Source organism: Homo sapiens, chromosome 3 (genome assembly GCF_000001405.40).
Source record: "Homo sapiens chromosome 3, GRCh38.p14 Primary Assembly".
NCBI lineage: Eukaryota > Metazoa > Chordata > Mammalia > Primates > Hominidae > Homo > Homo sapiens.
The window spans coordinates 148,439,992-148,466,023 of NC_000003.12; the positions used below are offsets into that span (position 1 = coordinate 148,439,992).

Here is a 26,032-nt window from a genome sequence, read left to right on the forward strand (position 1 = left end):
AGGACACAGCTCCACAAGGCCTCCCTAGTCTCTCATGGAGGGTACTTGAGGTCTAGTCAGCGAAACAGTGAAGGGAGTGCCAATTCACCAGAGCAGCCCAGAGCAAGGGCTCACTGGCTTTCACCATTACCTACAATAAGGTTCTACCTACATATAAAAGGTCCCTTGCTATACCTGTGCTGTCTTCCTGCTTCATAGGGCCAGTAGTAATCTGTAGCCTGTGATCTGTTTCTCTAGTGGCAGTAACCCTAATTATTTATTTCATTTTTTATATTTCTGTTTTATTTACCAACCACTCAAGGTCAGAAGTCCTATTCATTATTTCTGTATCTTTAATAGTTTGCATTCTGTAGCACTCAGTGAGCATTCATTTTTGTTATTGTTTTGTTGTTTATGAGCAAATGGAGGAGAGTGTCATGAGTTAACACGGTAAGTGTTAAATAGTTGAAATCTCAATTAAAAAATTAGATGTCTATCTGTGAAGCAGTCACTTCTGAGGTATCAGTCTTCACAGGAATTTTACTCTAGAGTTTGGAAGTAGGGGTGTTCTGCAAAGCCAAAAGGAGAATCCAGAAGTCATAAGAAACTTAGGCGCATGGGGGAAATCAATAACAGAAAGTATAGACGAGTTGTCAGGGTTCTGTACAGAAATTTAAGGGAAAAGCAGAGTCGAGTTTGTTCAGGTCAATGAAGAGAATTGTAGGACCTCAGTAGATTGACTCTAGGAAACAAACAAACACAAAACATTAAAAAAAAAAAAAAACTGCCAAAGCAACATCTGAAGTGACTCCTAACCTCTCTTTTATCAGGGCTGAGCCTAGGTAACCACTCAGTGGGCAGATCTCTCACCTAAAAAAGGTGAGAGCAGAACCGAAAACATCAAAGTAATTATTGATAAGAAAGCGTGCTTTGATGTATTGCCCTCTTCCCAACCATTTCCACTATGAGCCTCCAGAGGTTTGAGATGATGAAGCAATAATGTCTGGGGGAGAGGTTAGCACAATTTCTCCCCTAATTGCAAGGTAGATAAGAAAATATTTAATATTTCCCATGCAGTGTTAGAAAGTTTTCCAGTCTCTAAAATTCTATATCTACATTCAAATTTAATGAGGCTATTAACTAAAGTTGCTTCATGTTTGAGAGTTGTTTATAAAGCACATATAAAAGATAAACTAAATGACGGGTATATACAATCAAGTAAAGGGTCATTACCCTCATTTGAACAACCAATATACAGCAATTAATGGGGATTTCTCAGTTTAGAAATATTTTTAAAGAGCAGGACTAAATTACTAAGGGAAAAATGAAAAGTTAATTAGTTACTTCTGACTTGTGCTGGGCTTTATTGTTATGCAATCTTTTGAGGTCATCTTTAGAAACAAGATATTGATGTGTCCAAGGTGCTAAGCCCATCCGCTTGTTCTTGAGGTTCTAATTAACTTCCATGCTGGTTTGATTAACACTGGCATTTGCTTTTTCCTAGAAGAAAGCAGCCTCTGTATAAAAGAGCATAACTGACTCATTTTTGGTTAGAAGGCTTGATAATTACAGAATTTTTTTATGTGATAACTTTTTTTTTGCATGGACTTTGTAATACATGACTTTTGTAACTTATATTGAGTTATTACATAAATGCACATTTTTAAAACTTTCTTCTTAAAAGGCCAAAGGGGAACTTTTACTATGTTTTTGTGAAAGAAGGTATGAAAAACAACATAAAATAAGCAATTTCATTTGTCTCTGCTTGTTATAATTGTAATATTAAAATAACCAGCATATTTTATTTTTGGTGTCTACTTGAATAGCCTATGCAACATAGTCACAGTGATTTCTCAATTCCTTAACTTATCTTCAGGGTCCTACCATCTCCATTCCAGCCACCTGTTCTAATAGTTCTTCCCTGGAAATTTCATCTTATCATGCTCTTCTGCCAATATCACTAGATCAACCTCTCTACTTTATGACCACAGTGACCATCTTTCCTTACAGCAAGAATGGCATAATTAGTGTTTCTAGTGGTTCTTAGAGTGAGTTGGAGAGGAAAGAAGATCATTCAAAAGGCCATTTTAGTAACAAAATAAAATAAATAAATAAACCAAAGTGGTAGTGATGAGAAGGTGAAAAATGGGAGTAAGAAATATTGTGTATGTAGAAGAGACAGAAATTGGTTGAAGAGCAAATGTGGAAATTGGAAGAAATGAGTGTTCTAGTTTTCTACTGCTGCATAACAAATTACCATAAATTTAGTGGCTTAAAACAACACATATTTATTATCTCAAAGTTTCTGTAGGTCACAAGTTTGGGCATAGCTTCACTGGGTACTTTGCTCAAGGTTTCACAAAGCTGTAATCAAAATGGTGGTTGGGATGTATTCTCATCTGGAAGCTCAACTAGGGAAGTATTCACTTCCAAGCTTCCTCAGGTTGTTGGTAGAATTCATTTCTGTTTGGCTGTAAAATTCATGGCAGCTTACTTCTCCAAAGCCAGAAAGGGAGAGAGTATCTGCTATTTCCTGTGCCTTATTTTGGAAAAGGCTTACAGCCTCTTTTAAAGGGCTCACATGATTAAGTCAGGCCAACCCAGGATAATCTCCCTTTTTATTAACTAAAAATCAACTGACTAAAGACCTTAGTTACATCTAAGCTTTCCCTTCACCTTTGCAATATTCTACTGGTTATAAGTGAGTTACAAGTTTCACTTGCATGAAAAAGGAGATTACAAAATGTTGTGCATTTCACAGGGCAGGAATCACAGGCATCACTTTAGAATTCTGCCTATACAGAAAGAAAAAAACCCACAGATCTAAATACTTATCCTGGCTGAATGAGGACGTGGAGGTACTAGTGAAATGAGACAAAAAATAAACAGGCTTGGGAGAACAGATGTTTATACTTTCATTAAGATGATAAAAACATAAGAAGAGTTGCCCAGAGAAACTGAAAATAAGATGGAACGAAAGGTGGAGGTCCTAATTCAAAATATTGATTTACCCATAGAGGGTACATTTTAAGTTATCATATTAATATCTCATTAAAGAACAGAAAGAAATTTGGGAGCAGGAGGCAGGGAATAGAAATCAGCAAAGAGTATAGTAATTAGACTAATTAAATATCATGCTGTGTTTGAATAAAAATGACTAAAATATAGGAGAAAATTTAAGTAAGCATGCAGATATATAGCATGCAGGCCAGTGGGTTTTAGACTTATGTGTGCTTTCTTAGGAAAGCTTCTTAAAGAAGGTATACAGATTAGGAATACAGATATAAAACTTTTTGTTCATAGATGACATGATCTCCGTATAAAATTCAAAACAACAAAAAACTGGAACTAGTAAGTGATTATAGCAAGGTTGCAGAATACAAGGTTAGTATATAAAAGTAAATTACTTTCCTATAAATCAGCAATGCATAAGTGAAATTTGAAAATAAAAATACAACACCATTTGTATTAGCATGCTAAAAATGAAATACTTAGGTATAAATCTAACATAATATAAACAAAACTTATATGAGAAAAACTACAAACTCTGATAAAATAAATCAAGGAAGAGCTAAATAAGTGGAGAGATATTCCATGTTCACAGATAGGAAAACTCAGTATTGTCAATATATCAGTTTTTACCAACTTAATCTATAAATTCAGTGCAATCTTAATGAAATTCCAGTTGGTTATGGTTGAAGAATATCATACAAATATGAGTAAAATGGCTATATTAGTCATTTATAAGCACATTTTCAACGTGTTATGTGTGATTTTTATAATTATTTTATTCTACTCTATTTGCTTTGATCATAGTAAATGAAATTTTACATCTATTGACTCTTAAAGTAAAAATTGTTTGCATTTTGTATGTACTTGTCTATTATTTTCAATTCTCAAGTAAAATTCATGATTATTATATTTTAATAAAATATCATTTGACAGTGGGTTGGGAAATAAAAACTGGTCCTTCACCTCACAGATAGTTTCAGAAACCCTGCTCCAGAATACAAATAAGGACTTATAGGAGAGGCTAAAAGATGGAGGGAATAGAGAAGTTTAGAGACAGGGAATCAGGTGAAATTGAAAAATGGGGTCAAGAAAGACTAAAGGGAAAGGGAACAGTTGGAAGGGAAGAAGGGTAAAGTCACAAAGTAGAACCTTAGAGTTCATTTTCCATCTCATCATTTCCAAGTAATTTCAAGATTCAAGATATTGCCATACGTAAGGGACAATATGGGAAGGTGATAAAGGAGGCCATTGATGTTGAAGTTGAAGCTAGTTTGGTAGATGATAGCAGTATGGACAATAAAGTGTCTAAGGAATAATCCCTGCAAATCATAAAAATAAAATAATAAATTAAATGAAGAATATAAGGAGAACTTGAAGCTAGCATATCATGTCAAAAATGGGGAAAGAAAAGCAACCACCAGATATCATCAACTTCAAGGGAGGAGAGATTGTTAGATGGTGGTTGTAGAATAATGGTGTGGAAGAGGCATCAAGAAATAAGGACGAGGCATCTCCTTACATGCACATTGAGTTGGCAGAAGTAGAAAAGAATTTACTTCCAGCAGAAGGTCATCTTACAGAAATGGAACCTCCAGGAGAAAGTTGTGCTTCCATTTCAGGGAATTGAAGCACCATTAGAAAAAAAGATTCAGGTAGAAGAAGTTTGTTCTAGAAGTAATGCTTCCACCTCACACAGGGAAGGGGGCAAGGAAAAGTCCGAAGTTTATAAAGTAGGCATGTTGGGGAAGGTTGGGCACGTGGCATCAGCATAAATTTCATGGATACTCAAGGATAATTTCCTTAAGCAAACAGGTGAACTGTATGGATAAAAATACTGGCGTTCAGGGGAGGTAAGAAATCATGGGAAGATTTACTGAAGGGAGAGGTGAGTAGCCAGAATTTTACTTTAGTGAATTTTATGCCAGTAGAAGTAACAATGATGGCCCTCTATCCAGATGTGACCAATGTAATCAGGGGTCCTTGTCAGAGGGATGCAGGAGGAGTCAGAGTCTGAGAAAGAGACTCTGATGAAAACAGAAGTCAGAGTGATGTAGTTGCTTGTTTTGAAGATTCCTTAAAAACCAAGGAATACAAATAAGTGGCCTCTAGAATATGGAAAAGGAAAGAAAAAGGATTCTCTTTTAAAGCCTCTAGAAGAAATGCAATCCCATCAACACTTTGTTTTAACACTGTGAAACTCATTTCAGACTGATCATCTCCAGAACGATAAGATAATGTATATTGTTTTAAGCCATTAAATTTGTAGTAATTTGTTACAGAAGCAATATAAAACTAGTACATGCCATTACATTTTAATTTAAAATTTTAATTACAATGATAAAACCACAACCTCCACTTATGCACACACACAAATCACATACACACACATGCACAAATATGCACACAACACATACACACTCAATCATAGAAGACTGCAAAATCCTGCACTGCAACCAAGATGTGAGCCGGTATAAAAATTATGCCATCTTGCCTACTTGTTTTTTCTGAATTTTCAAGTTTTATATAAAGTTGGCAGATTAAAACATTCATTTCTATATAATTAACTAAAAATTATATTCAATGAATGAATGCAAAATAAATACAATCCATCTCCTAATCCATCTTAAGGTTAAAGTGTAAGATACTTAAAATGATCATTTAAAAGAAAAACCCTCCAATAATTTCAATGTAACAACACAAAAATGTGTAAGGACATGACTCTTAAAAAGAGATAGAAATCATTACTGAGAACTTTTAAACCTCTTAGAAGTTTATTGATTTTAAAAATTAGCAGGAACATTACTACTAAGAGATACACCCAAGAGACTTTGCACAAACATCTGTTTTTAGCAGCTTTGGTGTTCAGCAATAAAACCTTCCATTGTCCCAAGGCAAGGCCCTAGGAAATGCCCACCAACAGTTCCAACAGTCATTATGTATGTACTGTGTTCTCATCTCTGCCCTAAGGAAGTTAGACAGCAACCCAGTATTTTTTTTTTATTTACATACTTATTAAAGTCACACAGGTAAAACATTTCCGAATGTGTTTTCAGAACACGTTTTATTTTAGTGCTTTCAAATGTTTTGAAGATAATTGTTAGGGGAATGAAAAAAATATAGGAGCTCAGTCTGAAAATAAAAATCTGTTTTGGCATTTTAATGTCTAAAGACTCGGGAACTGCCAAATGTTTGCTAATCAAGAAGCACTAGAGATTCACAATCAGTACCCAAAATATAAAACAATTCTATTCACTGTAAAAATATGTTTACTGCATTTACTTACCGGCTGTTTAGCACAAATGTTTTTTGTCCCAAAGTGGAAAAGCTGGCAATCCTTTAATTTCCAAAGTGCTCATAGAGTGCAGCTGTAGATATACAAGGCATTTGTTAATGGCATATCAAGGTATCATTTGCTTCCCCTTTTGTCAGATACCGCCTTTATTTGAAGTCAACAGAAGCCTTTTCTCTTTTCCCTCTGGCACCATTTGTGGTTATTGTGTTTTCAGAGAATGCACACAGCATCAAGATATGGACTGATTTTGTTTTGAACCCATTCAGATGCAATGCTGACATTTTTTGGTAACTTTATATTTTTTGCTCTCTAATGTTCCATAGTCTTCAAAAATAGCCCAGAGAATTGCATTTGGGATTCATCGACATTAAAGTATCTGCTACCCAGAGTAAAATTCCAACAATAACAAGTTTATAACAACTCAAAGAGCATACCTTGTACTTGAAGGAATTTCATCATCCTTTTTAAAGGCATTTTCTTTAATTGAACCATAGTCTCACCTCTCTTATTGGATTCCAAATTTCCTTTTTAAGTATGAATATTTAGGGGTCAGTGGACTAGCCCTTGCTGATGTAATCTCAGCCTCAGTGAATACATATTGATTGGAGAAAAAGATTATCTTACTTACATGTATAGGAGCCATGATTCCAGGAATCAGTAAAATAATTCTATTGCCCATAAAACCGAATCAAGATTACAGCCGCTTTGACTCCTCCTTTGGAACCTTTGGAAAAGGTTTAGTGTGTTGAAAAGAGAGAGAAAAGGAAAATTAGTGAAAAGAGCAAATATTTTGTGCTGTCTCAACATTCAATAAATTCCACTGTGTGCACAATTGCTTTAGAAGGAAGGAAATGACAAAGGTATTTAAAAGATTGAGCCTAGAAATGTACTTGTGGGTGGTATGACCTTGATCGTATAAATCAGGAGCATCACCATATTATCTGAGGTTCAGCTTGCCAGCACAGCAGGTGTTGGCTAAAGAGTTGCTCAAGGTTTCTTCAAATGAGAGGACATCACTCAGAAACCCAACCTTTTTTAGCTTCTACCAATTTGACACCCTTTCACTTACATGTTGCTACCACCTCTTCTTAAGACTTCAAAGAAACCACTAAAATAACCACTATAGAAGTCTTAGGGATCATTACCTAGAGTATCAGATTCATCCAAAAGAGTTCATATATATGATTAGTAATATTCTTCTGAGTAAAACAAAAAGTTCAAAAGGATGTTTGATGAACAGGTATTTAGGGTACTTATTTTTAAGGCCACTTTAAACTTCAGAGTAACTCTCTAAGGGAAATAAAACTTCTATTAAAGCTTTAATTAAGTTTAAAAAGAGCTCTAACAGAAAAATGTAAAAGCCACACTGCTGCTGCTGACTCTAGGTATCGAGACCTATAAAAGAGTATTTAAGAAGCAGAAGTGGGGCTGGGGCTTTCAGAGATGTATTGATTTAAATTTGTGCATCCATATTGTATTTTCTAGCCACTATGTTCATGCAAATCTACAGACTAGAACACTCAGGAACATTAAGGATGCTGTGACTATTTTTTCCCATCACTTTATTTTTTATAAGCCTAGAAGCTTTATCATCCCTTCAGGTCCTGGTTATGAGTGATGATGAAGCATATCATTGTCAGTGCTGTCAGATCAAGAAGAAAGTTTCAAAACTAATAGAGTGTATGTTTACATGGTTCGAGGAACATATACCATGCAGAAAACACATATAAAAACACATACAAAACCCACCTAATCTTCTGGTCTCATTATTCCCCCAAGTTTTTCTTAAAGACAATCAACACAACAAATTTTGAAAGATTGATGACATATCAAAGAATCAAATTTGAACATAATCCAAACCCAGAGTCCACAGTGTGTGTTTGTGTATGTGAAGGCAGAAGAGGGGAGGTGGAGGAAAACAGGGAGAGGTGGGATGTGAACTCTTGTTGTGAGAAGAGCTAGGCACCTGATATACTCTTTCATTTAGCCTTCCACTGACGGATCAAATGAGAAACTGTTTTGCTCTGTTTCTGAACTGATTGACATTTTAATTATTCTACAGCTGGAAGTGTTAATCACACCAGAGAATGAGGGGATAATTCCCAGCTGGTAAAATTTCACACAATAGCTTGGCATGCACCAACATGCAGATAGTTTAAATTATTTGTTGAAGAAAAAAATCAATATTTAAAACCTCTTCACAAATTAAACCAGCAACAATACAGCTATACTTCAAAACCTCCTTACTTATGATTTGCACTTCCTATTTTTGACTCTCAGAGAGTCAAAACACCTTATGAATCTGAGAAATTCACAAATTTAAATGTTACTGATCTGAAAACTGTGAGATGATTAAAAGAAATTAAGATAATTGAATTTGGTTTTGTTTGTAAAATGTAAACTTTATTGCTGTTCAAATTCTGTTGCATTATTTTTAATATAAGCCTCTCTCTTAGAAGGTCCATGTTGTTTGGTAATGATTAAAAATCTTAAAAGATGTGCTTAACTCAGAGAAATATTTGTGTTAGTTCTTCACATACTTATCTGATCATAAGAATAACACAGAGTGTTATTTCAGACTGTCTTTAGAGTTTCTGATTTGATAGCTCCAGAATAAACCCTAGGAATCTGAATTATCAGAAATGATTCTGGGTGGGTGATGCTTAAAATCAGACGAGTATGGAAAACACTGAAATGCATATTCTGAATTTTAAATTAAATTTCATTTAGTTCTATTGGTATATATAGCAAATACCTATTTTTCCCAAGTACTGAAACATAAAGATAACTACCAAAATTTCTGCCTGTTAGCTCAGGTGGTTAAAAACTAAACTTGATATTTTTTCATAAAACAAATTCTCTTAAATATTCTAGTTTTAAAAAAACAAAAATAAATGGGACTTAATTAAGTTGAAAAGCTTCTGAACAGCAAAATAAATAATTATTAGAGTAAACAGACAGACTAAAGAATGAGAGAAAATATTTGTAAACTCTGCATCCAACAAAAGGACTAGTATCCTTTGAATCTACAAGGAACTCAAACAAATCAGCAAGAAAAAAACAAATAAGGCCATTAAAATGCAGGCAAATTACATAAATAGGCAGCTCTCAAAAGAAGATATACAAATGGCCAACAAGCATGGAAAAATCACTAATTATCAGGGAAACGCAAATTAAAACCACAATGAGATATCACCTTATCCTAGGCAGAATGGCCATTATTAAAAAGTCAAAAAACAATAGATGTTGGTGTGGATGTAGTGAAAAGGGAATGCCTATATGCTGCTGGTGGGAATTTAAAGTAGTACAGCCTCTATGAAAAACAGCATGGAAATCAGTATGGAAAGAACAGAAAGTAGATCCGGCATTTGATCCAGCAATCTCACTAGCGGATATCTACCCAAAAGAAAATAAGTTATATCAAAGAGATACCTGCATGCATATGTTTATTGTAGCACAATTCACAATTGCAAAGATATGGAATCAATCTGAGTGCCCATCAACTGATGAGTGGATAAAGAAAATGTGATATATACACACCATGGAATATCAATTGGCTATAGAAAGGAACAAAATAATATCTTTTGCATCAATTTGGGTGGAACTGGAAGCCATTATTCTAAAGGAAGTAACTCAGGAATGGAAAACCAAATACTACATGCTCTCATTTATAAGGGGGAGCGAAGCTATGGATACAAAAAAGCATATAGAGTGGTATATTGGACATTGCGGGGATGGGCATAGGGTGAGAGGGAGGTGAGGAATAAAAACTACATGTTAGGTACAATGTATGCTAGTCAGGTGACAAGTGCACTAAAATTGTAGACTTCACCACAATACAATTCACACATGTAACCAAAAACCACCTGTACCCCTAAAGCTATTGAAATAAAAATAAATATTCTAGTTTTGATAGTTAATAGAACTTTTGACAATCAAATGTTTTTTTAGTTTTTAACTTTGTTGTAAATCTTGAGAATGTGGATGTGCTTTCTTTTTAATAAAATCAGCCTCCAATGTTCAACAGAAAACACATTCTAAGAGGAATACTGCCACCTTAGATATTAACATTTTGTCTTCAAAGTAAGTTTTTCTCTATTTTTCATTAATGTGTATGAAGGAGTCAAACTCCAAAAGTTATGATAAACACGTTTTTAATCCATGTGAAATACACAGACATACGTGTACTTCTGTATTTCTGATTAATTAGGGAAGGTCTTCAGGAAAGAGATGCACTGTCAAAAGTTTGATTCCTTATAGGGAATGTGTTACTATGTGCTAAGTTTCATTCTAGCACATAGTAAAAAAGCAAAGTTGAGACAGCCATCATTATCATTATAATTACCATTTTATAAATGAAGAGACTGAAGTTTACTGAAAATAAATAATTCAAGGCTACATATTTTAAGTAGTAGATCTTGGACTTGAACAGAGTAAGTCTGACAAAAAAAAAAAAAAACCCAACACAAAAAACCTGTGTTCTACTGCTACTTTATCTTTAATCTTTCTCCTAAGTATACTGATAAAATACAAACATTATTAAGTTGGTATCTGATATGGTTTGGATATTTGTTCCCTTCAAATCTCATGGTGAAATGTAATCCCCGGTGTTGGAGGCGTGGCCTGTGGGAGGTATCTGGGTCAGAGGAGTGGACCCCTCATGAATGGTGTGGTGCCCTCCCTACGGTAGTAAGTGAGTTCTTGCTCTGTTAATTCATGTGAGAGCTGGTTGTTTAAAGGAGTCTGGCTCCTCCCCCTGCTCTCTGTCCCTCTCTCACCGTGTGTTGCACTGGCTCCCCCTTCACCTTCTGCCATAATTGTAAACTTCCTGAGTCCCTCACCAGGAGCAGAGGCTGGCACCATGCTTCCTGTACAGTCTGTAGAACCGTGAGCCAAAATAAAACTTCTTCTCTTTATAAATTACCCAGCCCCAAGTATTCCTTTATAGCAATGCAAGAACAAACTAAAACAATTTCCTTCATAATCTCTTAATTTTTTTTCCTGTTTGGGGGTAAAGTTTTAGAAAATTAACAGCTCTGTGTTTGATGAGCTGTGAAGCCCTAGTGTGGCAGAGGTTGTCTGGGACATAGAGCAAGCTACTGCTGCTGCTACCTTTAAACTTAAGAACAGAAGGAAAGATTAGTGTGCCATTAGCTAGAACTGACTTTCAGAACTAACAAAAGGCTTAGAAAGATATTCTCAAGAGTCTTAGGGCTGTAACATAAATAAATTTGGCTGGAATATTTTCAGAGATCTCTTAACCAAACTGAGGAAACAGAGACTAGGTTGGTGGCAGTCCTCTTACTTGAAACCAATCACCTTCTCATTCCACCACAATTTTCTTTTTCCCATCGCTTTCTGTCAGCTTTTAGTAATAACAAGGAAGAAATGGCTTCTTGTCACTTAACTTTTAAAATGAAAAAGTTATATATATATATATATATCTAATGATGTATATATATATCTAATGATGTATATATATCTAATGATATATATATCTAATGATGTATATATCTAATAATATATATAATGATATATATATCTAGATATATATATCTAATGATGTATATGTATATCTAGATATATATCTAATGATGTATATATATCTAATGATATATATAATTATATATATAATTATATATATATCATTTTATATATATATAATTATATATATATATATATCATTCTGTCTCTAAGAACTGTGTTTCATTTAATATAGAAAAAAAAGGCCAGTCCTCTATGAGTGTTGTACATTCTGAATTGTTTTGAAGAAAACATGCAAACTGACTGCTCCAAGGTTGTGAAGCTCTTAGGCCCTTGGGTTGCTGATTTACAAGTTGATGTCCACATGCTGTATCTTTTTATGTCTCCATTTATAATGCAGTTATGCAAGCAAGTTAAGCTATAAGGACATCATCATTGATGTTGCAATTTGTGTATATGTTTTCTACCTCATTACATTCTCATCTTTCTAGCCCAAAGCCATGGGATTCTGGCCTAGGCTATAGCTTACTCTCATAACATAATGAAAAATGCAAAATCATCACAGAGAAAGCTGATGGTTAAAATCTTTACCCCCAGTCAGTTGATTTATTGGTGTATATGGCTTTAGAGTCAAATAAAAATTTGTCCAAGGCAAATTCAGGTAATTTTCTTCTTAGTATTTCCAGAATTCCCACCTGAGAGAGCAGGTAATTTTCAAAAGCAGAAATTTTAGCATCCTGTCAGTAAACATTTCTGTTTTAAAACAAAACCATATAAACAACACACAGAATAATAGTATGGGCTGTTTCTCTACAAAATCATAAAGTTTTAGATTATCTAGTAAATGGATACATTTGTAATTGATGCTACTTTCCCACTTCTGTAGTTTATAACTTAACAAGACAATTCTGCCTTCTCAATACTATATTGTCATGAGGAAATGTCTTCTGTGATTCTAGACATTAATGATTGTTTTGGAATTTTCCCTGATCAACTGATTAATCCCCACCCCGACTCAGCGCCTCAGACACAGAGTGAGGCCAAGAAATATCTGTTGGCTGAAAATACCCAATTCATTTAACCGAATTAACTGTTACTTAAAATAAAAAATCACTGGGAAAAGTCCACAGCAGGAAAGAACAATTAAGAAATTAAGAGATTAATTAATTGTCCTTGCCTACTACTATTTACAAAGCTATTCATTTGTTTGCTTAAACACAAATATCTATCTATCTATCTATCTATCTATCTATCTATCTGTCTATCTATCTCTATCTTTAAAGAAACGTAATCTTGCAAAACATTTATGGAGCCTGGATTCTTTACATGAATTGAAAAAAGTTGAGTTTTTATAATTTGAAAACTAAAAAACAACTCTCTTTTTACATGTACAAATGTTAGTGTTAACAGACATAAAGATAACTTCATTTTATAATCTCTCGTAAGAAAATATTTTTCTCGTCTGGCTATAAGTGACAAATGTTTATCCTAAGGCTTTAACCTCCTAGTTCCTACTTCCAACTACAGCACTTGCTTATAATATATTCACACTATGCAAAATTTATATATTAACTAAAACTTATATAGAAATTATCATATACATCAATGCTAAAATTCTAACACACCTGAAGAGATAAGTTTATCTGTCCATTATCTGCCTCAAAATAAGAGTAATTGAGGAAGGAGAGAAGTAAAAAAAAAAATTGGGGGAGATGAAAAGCTATACATCACAGGACTCAACCTCAAAGCTATGTAACTTTGATGCACACATAGATTACAGTAAATAGAGTGTGGGTTAAATAAATAATAGAATATGTTCACAAAATAGTAACATTGGCAATGTCCACCAAAACGAAGGCTGTTGAGGCAGAAATAATTTGATAATGGTTTATTGGAAGGCAAATGTGAGGATTGACCTGGGAAAACACACCAACAAAATTGGGAGTGTTCTGGAGTCTGTGACAAGTTGGAAGGCGTTTATAAGAAAGCTTGGAAGGGAGGGGGGACTCCTCATATGGGAGTTGTCCATTATTATTGATGGGTACAATACAGAGGTTACAATCCTTGGAAACAGATTGCAACATACAGGCTAGAATGTCTACGTGCAAGACAGTCAGTAAAACTTTATAATTCAGAAATAAATCAGTGTCCTTTTCAGTGTCAGTAGGTTATGCATTTATCAGTACGTCAACAATTTGAAAGCTCACGATAAGATTCTTTACTCATGGACAGGATGTTGCCATGAATCACAAGACCTTCCCAAGGTGGGTTAATTTGGAAGCCTGTTTACTTTTAAAGTAAACTGTGAGATTTGAACTGTAGGTTATCAGCAAAAAAGAAACCAATGGCAAAAAATAAATCAAATCTAATCTATTTATCTGAGGTTGACCCCTTCACAAAAGAAGGAAAGAGAAAAATAAAGAATGCTTTGCAGAATGGTTCTTCATGAAAAACGCTTTTCTCTCTCTCTCTTTTTTTCTTTTCTGTTTTTCCCATCCTGGGTTTTTCCAACTAGTTTAGATAGGAATCAAAGTTAAAGAGAACACTAGTTGGCTGCAAATAAAACACCTGTGATGACTTTACAGCCAGTATCAACCCCTGATAGCCTGGTGTCCAGTGTGATATCAAGGTCATAGTAGCCAATCAAAAACATTTGCAAAATTAAAAATGCAATCTGTATCATGGTCAGGAATAATCTATTACTGAAAAATTTAGCCTTTTAGCAAGGTTATCAGAGAAACAACATTATTGGCACTGAAGTGTCATCTATCCAGAAATCCTGTCAAGTTTATTTTAACATAATTTCACCAGTGTTTCTTTGTAAGAGAAAAATTTAGTATACCTGCCTAATTTATTTGTTCTTTGATAATCAGGGGCATTTTATGAAGGTCGCAAAGGCCCAAAAGGGGCTTTATAAACACTTGTTTACGAACTATGTAAAGCCTTAAAAAAAGTTTTTCTTATGCTAAACAGTTTTACCGTACGATTTTTTTTTTTCCTAAAAGGGATTTGAGCTCTGAACTGAACGCTTTTTTCTTTTTCTATTTATGACACAAAATAAAGATACCCACAGGCCATGAGTCTGACAATACTTAATAAATGGATCTGAGATAAAGTCATAATTGAAAGGTAGTATCATTCTTTTTTGTAACTCTTGGATCAAGTTGCTGCTTTGTATAATTATGACATACTCAATCTCATAATGCATGAGTTAATGTACTCTTAAAATATTGTGTTACAAAGAAATAATTACATAGGCAGCAATCATTGTAAATGGAATCAATTCCTAATGTTAAGGGAAAAAATTAGGGATCAGATGACTGAAATGCCAATATTTATGATTATACTGCTTGAATTTTTTCATCTTGGACGATGTGCCAATGAAATACAAATCATAAGCAAGATAGATGCAAGTCAAGTACTTCATGTTCTGGACAGAGGGTAACACATCTCCTGGAATTGATGTTAATAATAAACAAAGAGGAATTCTGCCATCAACATCTGGCAAAAGTGATGACAGAAAAAGAGCTACCCAGGGATATGTTTTCTATCCAAGGCAGAGTTTTAGGAAGGGGCTGGGAAGCATGTGCTCACATTTCTCAAAAGTAGGATGTGTTTGTGATTGCTTGAACGCCAATAGGAATGGACCGGTTACCAGCAGATGAGAGAACTTCAGATTGGAAGGAATTGCTGAGATGTTGCCCAAGACCCAGTTTCCACGAATGAAGTATAAATTGGGGAACTGATTCATCTCAAGTCAAGAATTGCATTTTCTAGAAATAAAACAAAAGGTCAGAGTAAAACCAGAGAAACATGGATTCAAGGTTCAGTCTCCCTGAGAACTCAGCTACAAATAGTTAAACTCCTTTATACCTTCGATTTGTCCCAGATTCCAGAGTAGAAATGACCTCATAGGCGGGGTGGGTTTGAGGAGATGAATGGGGACAAATCAGGGTGCAGATTCAGAGTGTAGGGCAGAAGACTACTTATTAACTTCACCCTCAACTCCTTTCTTCTTCCCCTTTGAATTTTGAACCAGTGACTAGTAATTGGTACTTCATTTAGAGCATGTCTTAACTCTAAAGCTAATAGCACTTAAAATGCCAAGGAGCAACTTGGTATGAGTGTGCCTAGCCCCTTTAAAAGGAAAAAAAAATGTTGCAGGCTCCTAAGACTTCACCCACATGCCCTAATTCGGGGGGTGGGAGGATGACTTGATAGATGACTAAATAAATACTAATATTGTGATGCTATTACTTCCGGATGATTTTTCAGAATTTTAGCACCCTTAGGAAATAAAAAATAAAATAAGGTTTTTTAAAAAAAATATGGTGAGAGAGTAAAAAATCTGGATCCTTGGAGGGGGGAGTTGGGGATGATTAAGGGGTATGAAAAAAATAGAAAGAGTGAATAAGATCTACTATTTGATAGCACAATAGGGTGACTATAGTCAATAATAACTTAAATGTACATTTTAATGATTTAAAGGGTATAATTAGATTGTAACTCAGAGGATAAATGCTTGAGGGGGTAGATACCCCATTCTTCATGATGTGCTTATTTCATATTGCATGCCTGTATCAAACTATCTTATGTACCCCATAAAGATGTACACCTACTATATACCCACGAATTTTTTTTTTAAAAATCTGGATTCTTCATTTAGTAAATACTTCTTGAGGGCCTAGCATTGTGCTGGGCACTGAAATAGCATGGTAAGCTAATGAGTCATGGTTCCTGACTTCAAGAAACTTGCAATCTAGCAAGGTAAGTAAACGAGGAGGCAATTGCAAGTATTATGACAGAGAAAAGGGCAAAGTTCTAGAGAAGCACACATCTAGGGACCTTCTCTGAATTACTAACATACACTGAAATAGAAATTTTATGACTTTAGAAGGAGTGCGTTTTTTTAGAGATGTTGTTTTTTCCATATATTTTATCAGAAAATTTAAAATGCAGATTGAAAAAAACAAATACATGTTAAGTATCCCTTATCCAAAAAGCTTGGGACAAGAAGTGTTTTGGAGTTTTTCAAATTTTGGAATATTTGCATATACATAATGAAATATCTTGGGGATAGAACCCAAGTCACAACACAAAATTTATGTTTCATATACACCTTGTACACCTAACCTGAAGATAATTTTCTACAATATTTTAAAACAGATTTGAGCATGAAACAAAGTTTGTGTACGTTGACTCATCAGGAAGCAAAAGTGTCACTATCTCAGCCACTCATGTAGATAATCTGAAGATTTTTTTCTGGCATTACCATCACTCCTGACTCTGAATTTATATGCTATTAATAAGCAATCATTTTCTTACACTTATTCACACATAGGTATTTAACTGTAAAAAAGAGGACACACCATTAATACAGTGAAAAAAATAATGTGTTTGAGGTAACCAAACAGCACAGTGTCATCACCAGAATGCCTGTATCAGCTGTCAAACAACATCCACAAGCAATGGCAGACTTTCAGTCTCTACCCGCAATCCTCTGTTTAGATTAGAAGGTTACTATACATCGTATTGTATTTTGAGATAGGCGAGAAGAAGAATCAGAAGCACTTGAGGGCCCTCTAAAGATGAAGAAGCATCCTATTGGATGGCTTCTTAAAATGTTTCTTCCAGAATGTCATCTGCCTCATTAACAACTTGTTTTAATTTTTCATTTTTTTGTCTTAGAATTATTTATTTGATTTTATAGCTTACGTGATTTCTTGTTCTGTGATGAATGCATACTGCCCTAGTCCTTCAATAAGCCCATCACACATTTTCACCATGCCATCTCTAGATAATTTTTCTGCAGTGTTAACAATGTCAGTCATCTTCATCATCACTGTTATCATGATCACTAGTCTGTTGTGTGCCTGCATTTTGATTGCAACCAATCATGTGAGGTCAACTGTATTATTTCCACTTGTGGCATCAAATGGGCACTCAAAAGTTTTGGATTTTGAAGCATTTCAGATTTCAAATTTTGGGATTAGGAATGCTTAACCTGTACAGGATTTTGAAATATTAAGAAGTAATTTCTTTCTCAATCCTAAAAACACTTTCTCTCTCTAAAATAAAATCGATTATTTTCTTAGGTTTTTAATTTAAGGGATTGCTCTAGGAAAGTCATTATAATATTTAACAAACATTTTTAGTAATAAATTTTTTAAATATCTGTTTTTACTCTTTTCCAAATGGTCTTTTTCATGAATATGAAAACACTTAATGTACTCGGGGGATGTATTTCATGTAAATTTTTATGTCCAAAAACTGAATTCAATTTTTTATTGACATTAAACACAACAACATCTGCAAGTCATTAAAAGGAAATTCCTTTGGAAAACACTATAGTTTGACTCTACTGAATGATTTTTCACTTGGAATAAATTCATTCATATGTTTCATGATATTCCAAAAGCAGTTATGACCTAGATTAACAAAAATAAATTTTATTTTCATTAATATATTAGACATCAGGTTTTACAAACTACTTTTTCAATAATCAGTGTGTTCCTGATAATGTCTTTGGACATTGAATTTTATATTACAATAATTATTTTATCAGTTATAAAAAGTATCATTCTTTTAAAAGGACACTTCAAAATAGTAAAAGAATTCTTTGAAAAAATCACCCCTTATGTCACCGGCTGTAAAATAATTCTACATAATACCATCTAACCATTTTCCACAATGAAAAATATTTTACACAGTTATACAGTGTTTTTAAAATGAGCACACACAACAAATCCTGTTTCTCACATATTTCAATACTAATTTCAGAGATGTAAAGATAAATATGTGTATGTAAATGTCTATATATGTATGTAAATGTCTATATAAACACATTTACATACATATAAAAATGCCCTCAGAATATGTTAGAAGTCACTTATCTGAACGTCTAATATTTAGGTGGCCTGTATAGAATTGATATGCTTTAAAAATATAAAATGTAAATATTTAAAAATTTGGTCAACTTTTCTTGTCTTTTTTCCTTATCAAGAAAATAGTACTAAAAGAAATAAATTGTCTTAGTGAATGCTTCTCTTTTTTGATCTCATTAATATAAGGATAATGATCCTGCTTATACAGATGCTCCTTGACTTAACGTAACATTTCATCTCCATAAACATTGTAAGTTGAAAATATCATAACTTAAAAGTGCCTTTAATACACCTAAACTACTTAACCTTGTAGCTTAGCCTAGGCTACCTTAAATGTGCTCAGACACCTTAAATTAGGCTACAGTTGGGCAAAACCATCTGGCAACACAGGACACTACAGAGTACCAGTTGATTACCCTCGTGATGGCATGGCTGACTGGGAGCTGCAGCATCACAAGAGAGCGTCTTACCACTTTCTATTGAATGTGCATGGTTTTTGCACCATCATAAAGTCAAAAAGTCAAGTCAAACCATTGTAAATTGGGGACCGTCTGTACATCAGTTTTTTATCCCTTTGATTTGTATACTAAATAGATGCAAGCATAAAAAGAATAAGAAGATTTAAGGAGAAAATTATCTTCCTTTTCTACAACAGCAGAAATATGTGTTACTTCAGGATATCATTCAGTTGTTCTATAAGAAATTGCTGAACTTTAGGAAGTATTAACAAATAATCTAAACCAAGATCTTGTTTGCTTGTACAGTACTCAGATATTCTGAAGTCTTTCTTGAAATCTTTCTTTGTAATCTTTGACTGGTACCCATTTCATTGATCAGTCAAAAGATAATATGCATTTTAATTTTGGACTAATAAATGTGGGGTTGGACTAAGGCAAAAGAGAAATGTTCCCATATACTCTATCAGAATTTGATCTCAAGGTAATACAAACATGGACACCCCAGCAATGGAAAGATACATTATTATATTTTTAAATAATTAGAGTCCTTTTTAACCATATTTTGAAGAGTTGATAGTTGTAGATGTGGGGAAGGGGACCATTGTTCCTTCTCCAATCCTAAACAGCAAATACAGAAAAAAATTATGTATATGATATATGCAATTTATATACATATAATTACATGTAGATAAATAGTGACCAACACACAATATATCATTTTTATCATTTCTGTGACATAATTATATTCATATAAATTTTATATTTATATATAATATATATCATCCATATCTATCTATATACCATCAATTATGAAAAATAAACTTTTTTATAATTCTTCTATCATGGACCAACAGTGACCACTTTCTTTTTTTAAGTTTTCTTTCTTACTTAAAGCTTCTAGAAAGAAGAGTTATTGGGCACCCTCTTTTCTCTTCATTTTTCAAAGGAAAAAAGAACAAAAGTGTTTTTATGAAAAGTGAGATGTGTTTTATTTTAGCTAACCAAGGATGGCAGATTTTTATAACAACACTACCATCTGCTGGAATTTAAGAGTATTGTTGCTAACATTTTGGAAGCCTTGGGTTGCATTTTTACAACTATTGGCCTAAAGTGGTTTTTATTATATACTTTTTAACAGCACTACGTGACTATTTCCAAAGGGAAGTTTACTGGTAGGTGCAATCTCCACCTCCTTACAAGTCACACAAACACTTCTACACTGCTGATGGGAATGTAAACTAGTACAACCATTATGGAAAACAGTGTGGAGATTCCTTAAAGAACTAAAAATTAAATTGGACTTCACCTTTCTCTGGTGCCTCCTTGATTAGCTTAATAATCAACATTCTGAATTCTTTTTCTGGCAATTCAGGGATTTCTTCTTGGTTTGGATCCATTGCTGGTGAGCTAGTGTGATTTTTGGGGGGTGTTAAAGAATCTTGTTTTGTCATATTACCAGATTTGTTTTTCTGGTTTCTTCTCATTTGGGTAGGCTATGTCAGAGGGAAGGTCTGGGGCTCAAGGCTGCTGTTCAGATTCTTTTGTCCCACGGGGTGCTCACTTAATATAGTACTCTTGCCCTTTTCCTAGGGACGTGGATTCCTGAGAACTGAACTGTAGTGATTGTTATTTCTCTTCTGGATCTAGCCACCCCGCAGGGCTACCAGGCCGTGGGCTGGTACTGGGGGGTGTCTGCTCAGAGTCCCATTATGTGAACCATCTTCAGGTCTCTCAGCCATAGATACCAGCACCTGATCCAGTGGAGGTTGCAGGGGAGTGAAATGGACTTTGGTACCAATACTGTTGACACTATTTCCCAAGACTGAGAAAGAGGGAATCCTCCCTAATTCATTCTATGAAGCCAGTATCACCCTAATGCCAAAACCAGGAAAGGACATAACAAAAAAAGAAAACTACAGACCAATATCCCCCATAAACATAGATGCAAAAATCCTTAACAAAATACTATCTAACCAAATCCAACAGCATATCAAAAAGATAATCTACCACAATCAAGTGAGTTTCATATCATGCAGGGACAGTTTAACATACACAAGTAAATAAACGTGTTACACCACATAAACAGAATTGAAAACAAAAATCACATGATCATTTCCAGATACACAGAAAAGGCATTTGACAAAATCCAGCATCCCTTTATGATTAAAACCTTCAGCAAAATCGGCATACAAGGAACATACCACAATGTAATACAAGCCATCTATGACAAACCCACAGCCAACATCATACTGAATGGGGAAAAGTTGAAAGCATTCCTTCTGAGGACTGGAACAACATAAGGATGCCCACTCTCACCACTTCTATTCAACATAGTACTAGAAGTCCTTGACGAGCAATCAGACAAGAGAAAGAAGAAAGGGCATCCAAATTGGTAAAGAAGAAGTCAAACTGTCGCTGTTTGCTGATGATACAATCATGTACCTAGAAAACCCTAAAGTCTCCTCCAAAAAGCTCCTAGAACTGATAAATGAATTCAACAAAGTTTCAGGATACAAAATTAATGTACACAAATCAGTAGCTCTGCTATACACCAATAGCAACCAAGCTGAGAATCAAATCAAGAACTCAACTCCGTTTACAATAGCTGCAATAAAATAAAATAAAATACTTAGGAATATACAACCAAGGAGTTGAAAGACCTCTACAAGGAAAACTACAAAACACTGCTGAAAGAAATCACAGATGACACAAACAAATGGAAACACATCCCATGCTCATGGATAGGTAGGATCAGTATTGTGAAAATGAACATACTGCCAAAAGCAATCACAAATTCAATGCAATTCCCACCAAAATACCACCATCATTGTTCACAGAACTAGAAAAAACAATCCTAAAATCCATATGGAACCAACAAAAAAAAACCTGCATAACCAAAGCAAGACTAAGCAAAACAAACAAATCTGGAGGCATTACATTACCTGACTTCAAACTATACTACAAGGCCAAAGTAATGAAAACAGCATGATAGTGGTATAAAAATAGGCACATAGACCAATCAAACACAATAAATAACCCAGAAATAAACCCAAATACCTACAGTCAACTGATCTTCAACAAATGGTGCTGGAATAATTGGCAAGCCACATGTCAAAGAATGAAACTGGATCCTCATCTCTCACCTTATACAAAAATCAACTCAAGTTGGATCAAGGGCTTCAATCTAAGACCTGAAACTATAAAAATTCTAGAAGATAACATTGGAAAAACCCTTCTTGACATTGCCTCAGGAAAGACTTCATGACCAAGAACCCAAAAGCAAATGCAACAAAAACAAAGATAAATAGATGGGACTTAATTAAACTAAACAGCTTCTGCACGCAAAAGGAACAGTCAGCAGAGTAAACAGACAACCTACAGAGTGGGAGAAAAAATCATCACAATCTATAAATCTGACAAAGGACTAATATCCGGAATCTACAATGAACTCAAACAAATCAGCAAGAAAAAAACACACAGTCCCATCAAAAAGTGGGCTAAGGACATGAATAGACAATTCTCAAAAGAAGGTATACAAATGGCCAACAAACGTGAAAAATGCTCACTATCACTAATGATCAGGGAAATGCAAATCAAAACTGCAATGCAATACCACCTTACTCCTGCAAGAATGGCCATAATAAAAAAAAAATTAATAAAATAGATGTTGGCATGGATGCAGTGAAAAGGGAACACTTCCACACTGCTGGTGGGAATGTAAACTAGTACAACCATTATGGAAAACAGTGTGGAGGTTCCTTACAGAACTAGAAGTAGAACTACCATTTGATTCAGCAATCCCACTACTAGGTATCTCCCTAAAGGAAAAGAAGTCATCATGCAAAAAAGATACTTGCACACACATGTTTATAGCAGCACAATTCACAATTGCAAAACTATGGAACCAGCTGAAATCCTCATCAATCAACGATTGGATAAAGAAATTGTGGCATATATATATATATACAATGGAATACTATTCAGTAATAAAAAGGAACAAATTAACAGCATTTGCAGCAACCTGGATGGAACTAGAGACTATTATTCTAAGTAAAGTGACTCAGGAATGGAAAACCAAACATTGTATGTTCTCACTCATAAGTGGGAGCTAAGCTATGAGGGTGCAAAGGCATAAGAATGATACAATGGGCCAGGTGCGGTGGCTCACGCCTGTAATCCCAACACTTTGGGAGCCCAAGGTGGGCGGATCATGAGGTCAAGAGATCGAGACCATCCTGGCCAGCATGGTGAAACCCCATCTCTACTAAAAGTACAAAAAGTTAGCTGGGCGTGGTGGTGCGTGCCTGTAGATCCAGCTATTTGGGAGGCTAAGGCAAGAGAATTGCTTGAACTCAGGAGGCAGAGGTTGCAGTGAGCCGAGATGGCACCACTGCACACCAGCCTGGCAACAGAGTGAGACTCTGTCTCAAAAGAAAAAAAGAATGATACAATGGACTTTGGGGACTCAGGAGAAAGGGTGGGAGGCGGGTGAGGGATAAAAGACTACAAATTGGGTTTAGTGTGTACTGCTCAGGTGATGCGTGCACCAAAATCTCACAAATCACCACTAAAGAATTTGCTCATGTAACCAAATAACACCTGTTCCCCAAAAACCTAGGGAAATAAAAAAATAAACTAAAAGTTTAACTAGCTTCTTTTTCCTTTAATTAATTTTCTGGGATCCTACCCCTATTTATAAATATACAAAATGACTCACTCATTCAACAAATAGCAGTTAATAGTCAATAACTGTTGGCTGCATACTAAGAAATATACTACATATTAAAGACATACAGTTAAATAAAATATTAGTCTCTAGGTCTTAGCCTATCAGGAGACCTAGACCAAAATAAAGTGTTGCATTACAGCATGGGAAGTGCCATCATCCAGCTCTGGTCAGAGATAGAAGCTCCAACAATGAGCCTTTTCTCTCTGTCAGTCTGGGTGTACCCTGGGTGTAAATATTGGGGACGGTGGCATTTTCTGAGGAAAAGATGCATATCTTGAGTCTTGACATTTGAGTTGGAATTATTCAGACAGATAAGAACAAATAAATTTTTAAGAGTCTGGCAAGTAAGATTTGGAAACAAGCCTTCCATACCACAATCACTTGTGTTTATTCATAACTTCACTTTTTCATTCTTTCATTCATTTGGCAGATGTTTCTGAACAACATCAGAAGGAAGGCCAGGAAAAAAGATTATAAGATTATAAAATAAATAGCTGCAATGCATATGATAACTGTGATAAAAATTTGTACAATAAGAACATTCACTCACTTATTCAACTAGGACTCAGGAAATATCCAGGCACAGGAGACAAGATGACATCATCCATGCCTTCAAGGAACAGGAAAAACACAAATCGGAATAGTCACATAGTAATAATCTCATCTAACTCTGCACAAAGGGGAAACATTGAAATGTCTGTCATGCCAGGCTCTACTCCTTGGAGAAATGGTTAGCTGCAAAGATTTTGTAAAACCAGTTTGCATTCGCTAGCTAAATAAGTTAGAATGATTGAAGGTTATCATTATATTGGTGCAACAGTAATTGTGGTTTTTGCCTTAAAAAAAAAAAAAGTCAAAAACCGCAATTACTTTTGCACCAACCTAATAGCTTGAGAGCTATAGTCATACAGATAGAAATTAAGTCCAATTTCCACACTAGTTGTGTAACTGTGGGAAAGTTCATTGATCTCCTGGTTTCAGTTTTCTATATTGTCAAAAGGGGATGATAATGGTTCCTGCCTCATTTGGTTATTGTGAGCTTAAATTAACTAATTAAAGTGCTTGGCACAGTACCTGGCTCAGCAGGTTCTTGGTACATGTTGGCTATTTCTCCCCTCTTTCCTCTTCATTTTCTTCTTACCTTAATGACTCAGCTAGACAAGACTCTGACCAGAGAGAAAGCATATGCAAAAGAATAGGAGTGTGAATTAATCCATCATGGGCTTGATGAGAGCACTGCAAGTGATTAGATATCTAACCAGTCAGTCATTCTGTTAGTCTGTAAGTGTCAATATTGATGCCAGTCTGTAGATATTGAATGCCTATTTTGTTTCAAGCACAACCTCAGGTGCCCCGATGTATTCTAGGGGCTGTTGTTGAAAAATGTGCTGGATACAGAGAACCAAAGCCACGAGTAGCCAATTTTGCCTCGTTAGGAGTTTGCTGAGAAAGCTGTCATAGGAAAACTCAAGTTTGAGTCATTTAATAGAAGAGTTGAGAGCTCGCTTTTGTCTGTTCTGAGGAATGGAAGGCATCCCAGGCACCTTAGTTCAAAGGTGTGAAACAAAGCCTGTGTGCACGGATCTTAAAGAACCTTTGAATTAATATAGAAGAAAACGCTATCCTTTGGCTTAGATGTGAAGAGCAGTAAGACGTCAATATCAAGTGGTAAAGAAGACAAACTCTGGAAGTCTAAAAGTCACTTAACAGGATACCAAAATGGGATATCCTGCCTGTAGATAGCCCTTTTCTGTTACAGGAGAAAACCTGCATTAGATGGATTTTGAAACACCAAGGATCAAATTGGATCTTCTGAAAGAAAACAACGACATATAGAAATTTTAATAAGCGGTATCACACTGCTAGTATGTCATTATCTTCACCAACCCTAGGGTTCTTTCACAGGCAGGTTACATAAAGTATGCAGAAATGTTGAATCACATTTTAAATCTTATTTCTCAATATATCACCTAAGATGTCTTCATAATAAGTGTATTTAATTCTACATAAAAAATATGAAGAAAGGCCTCAATAAGCCATTATATGTATCTCTGTGAACACTACCCTTTTATGAGAATATTTTATTCTAGGCAGCAGTCACGTTCCTCAAAAACAATAAGAAAACATAAATGTAAATTCTGATTTGTATCCCATACATAAAACAATAATTCTTTATAATAATCTGTCTTAATTC

At 34.8% G+C, this 26,032-nt stretch overlaps 1 long non-coding RNA gene across 2 annotated transcripts; it reads right to left on the reverse strand.

Annotated features, from left to right (window-relative positions):
• Positions 1 to 25,800, reverse strand: LOC105374150 (uncharacterized). 2 transcript variants are annotated; one of them, XR_924571.2, is made up of 7 exons: positions 24,913 to 25,800; positions 24,389 to 24,448; positions 15,362 to 15,540; positions 6,912 to 7,007; positions 6,275 to 6,356; positions 1,324 to 1,479; positions 1 to 721 (listed from the first exon to the last, which is right to left on the reverse strand). It is a non-coding gene; the product is annotated as an uncharacterized LOC105374150 (long non-coding RNA). The 2 variants fall into 2 exon arrangements; XR_924572.4 differs by lacking the exons at positions 15,362 to 15,540; positions 24,389 to 24,448; positions 24,913 to 25,800 and adding an exon at positions 12,359 to 12,578.
• Positions 25,801 to 26,032: the final 232 nt, after the last annotated feature.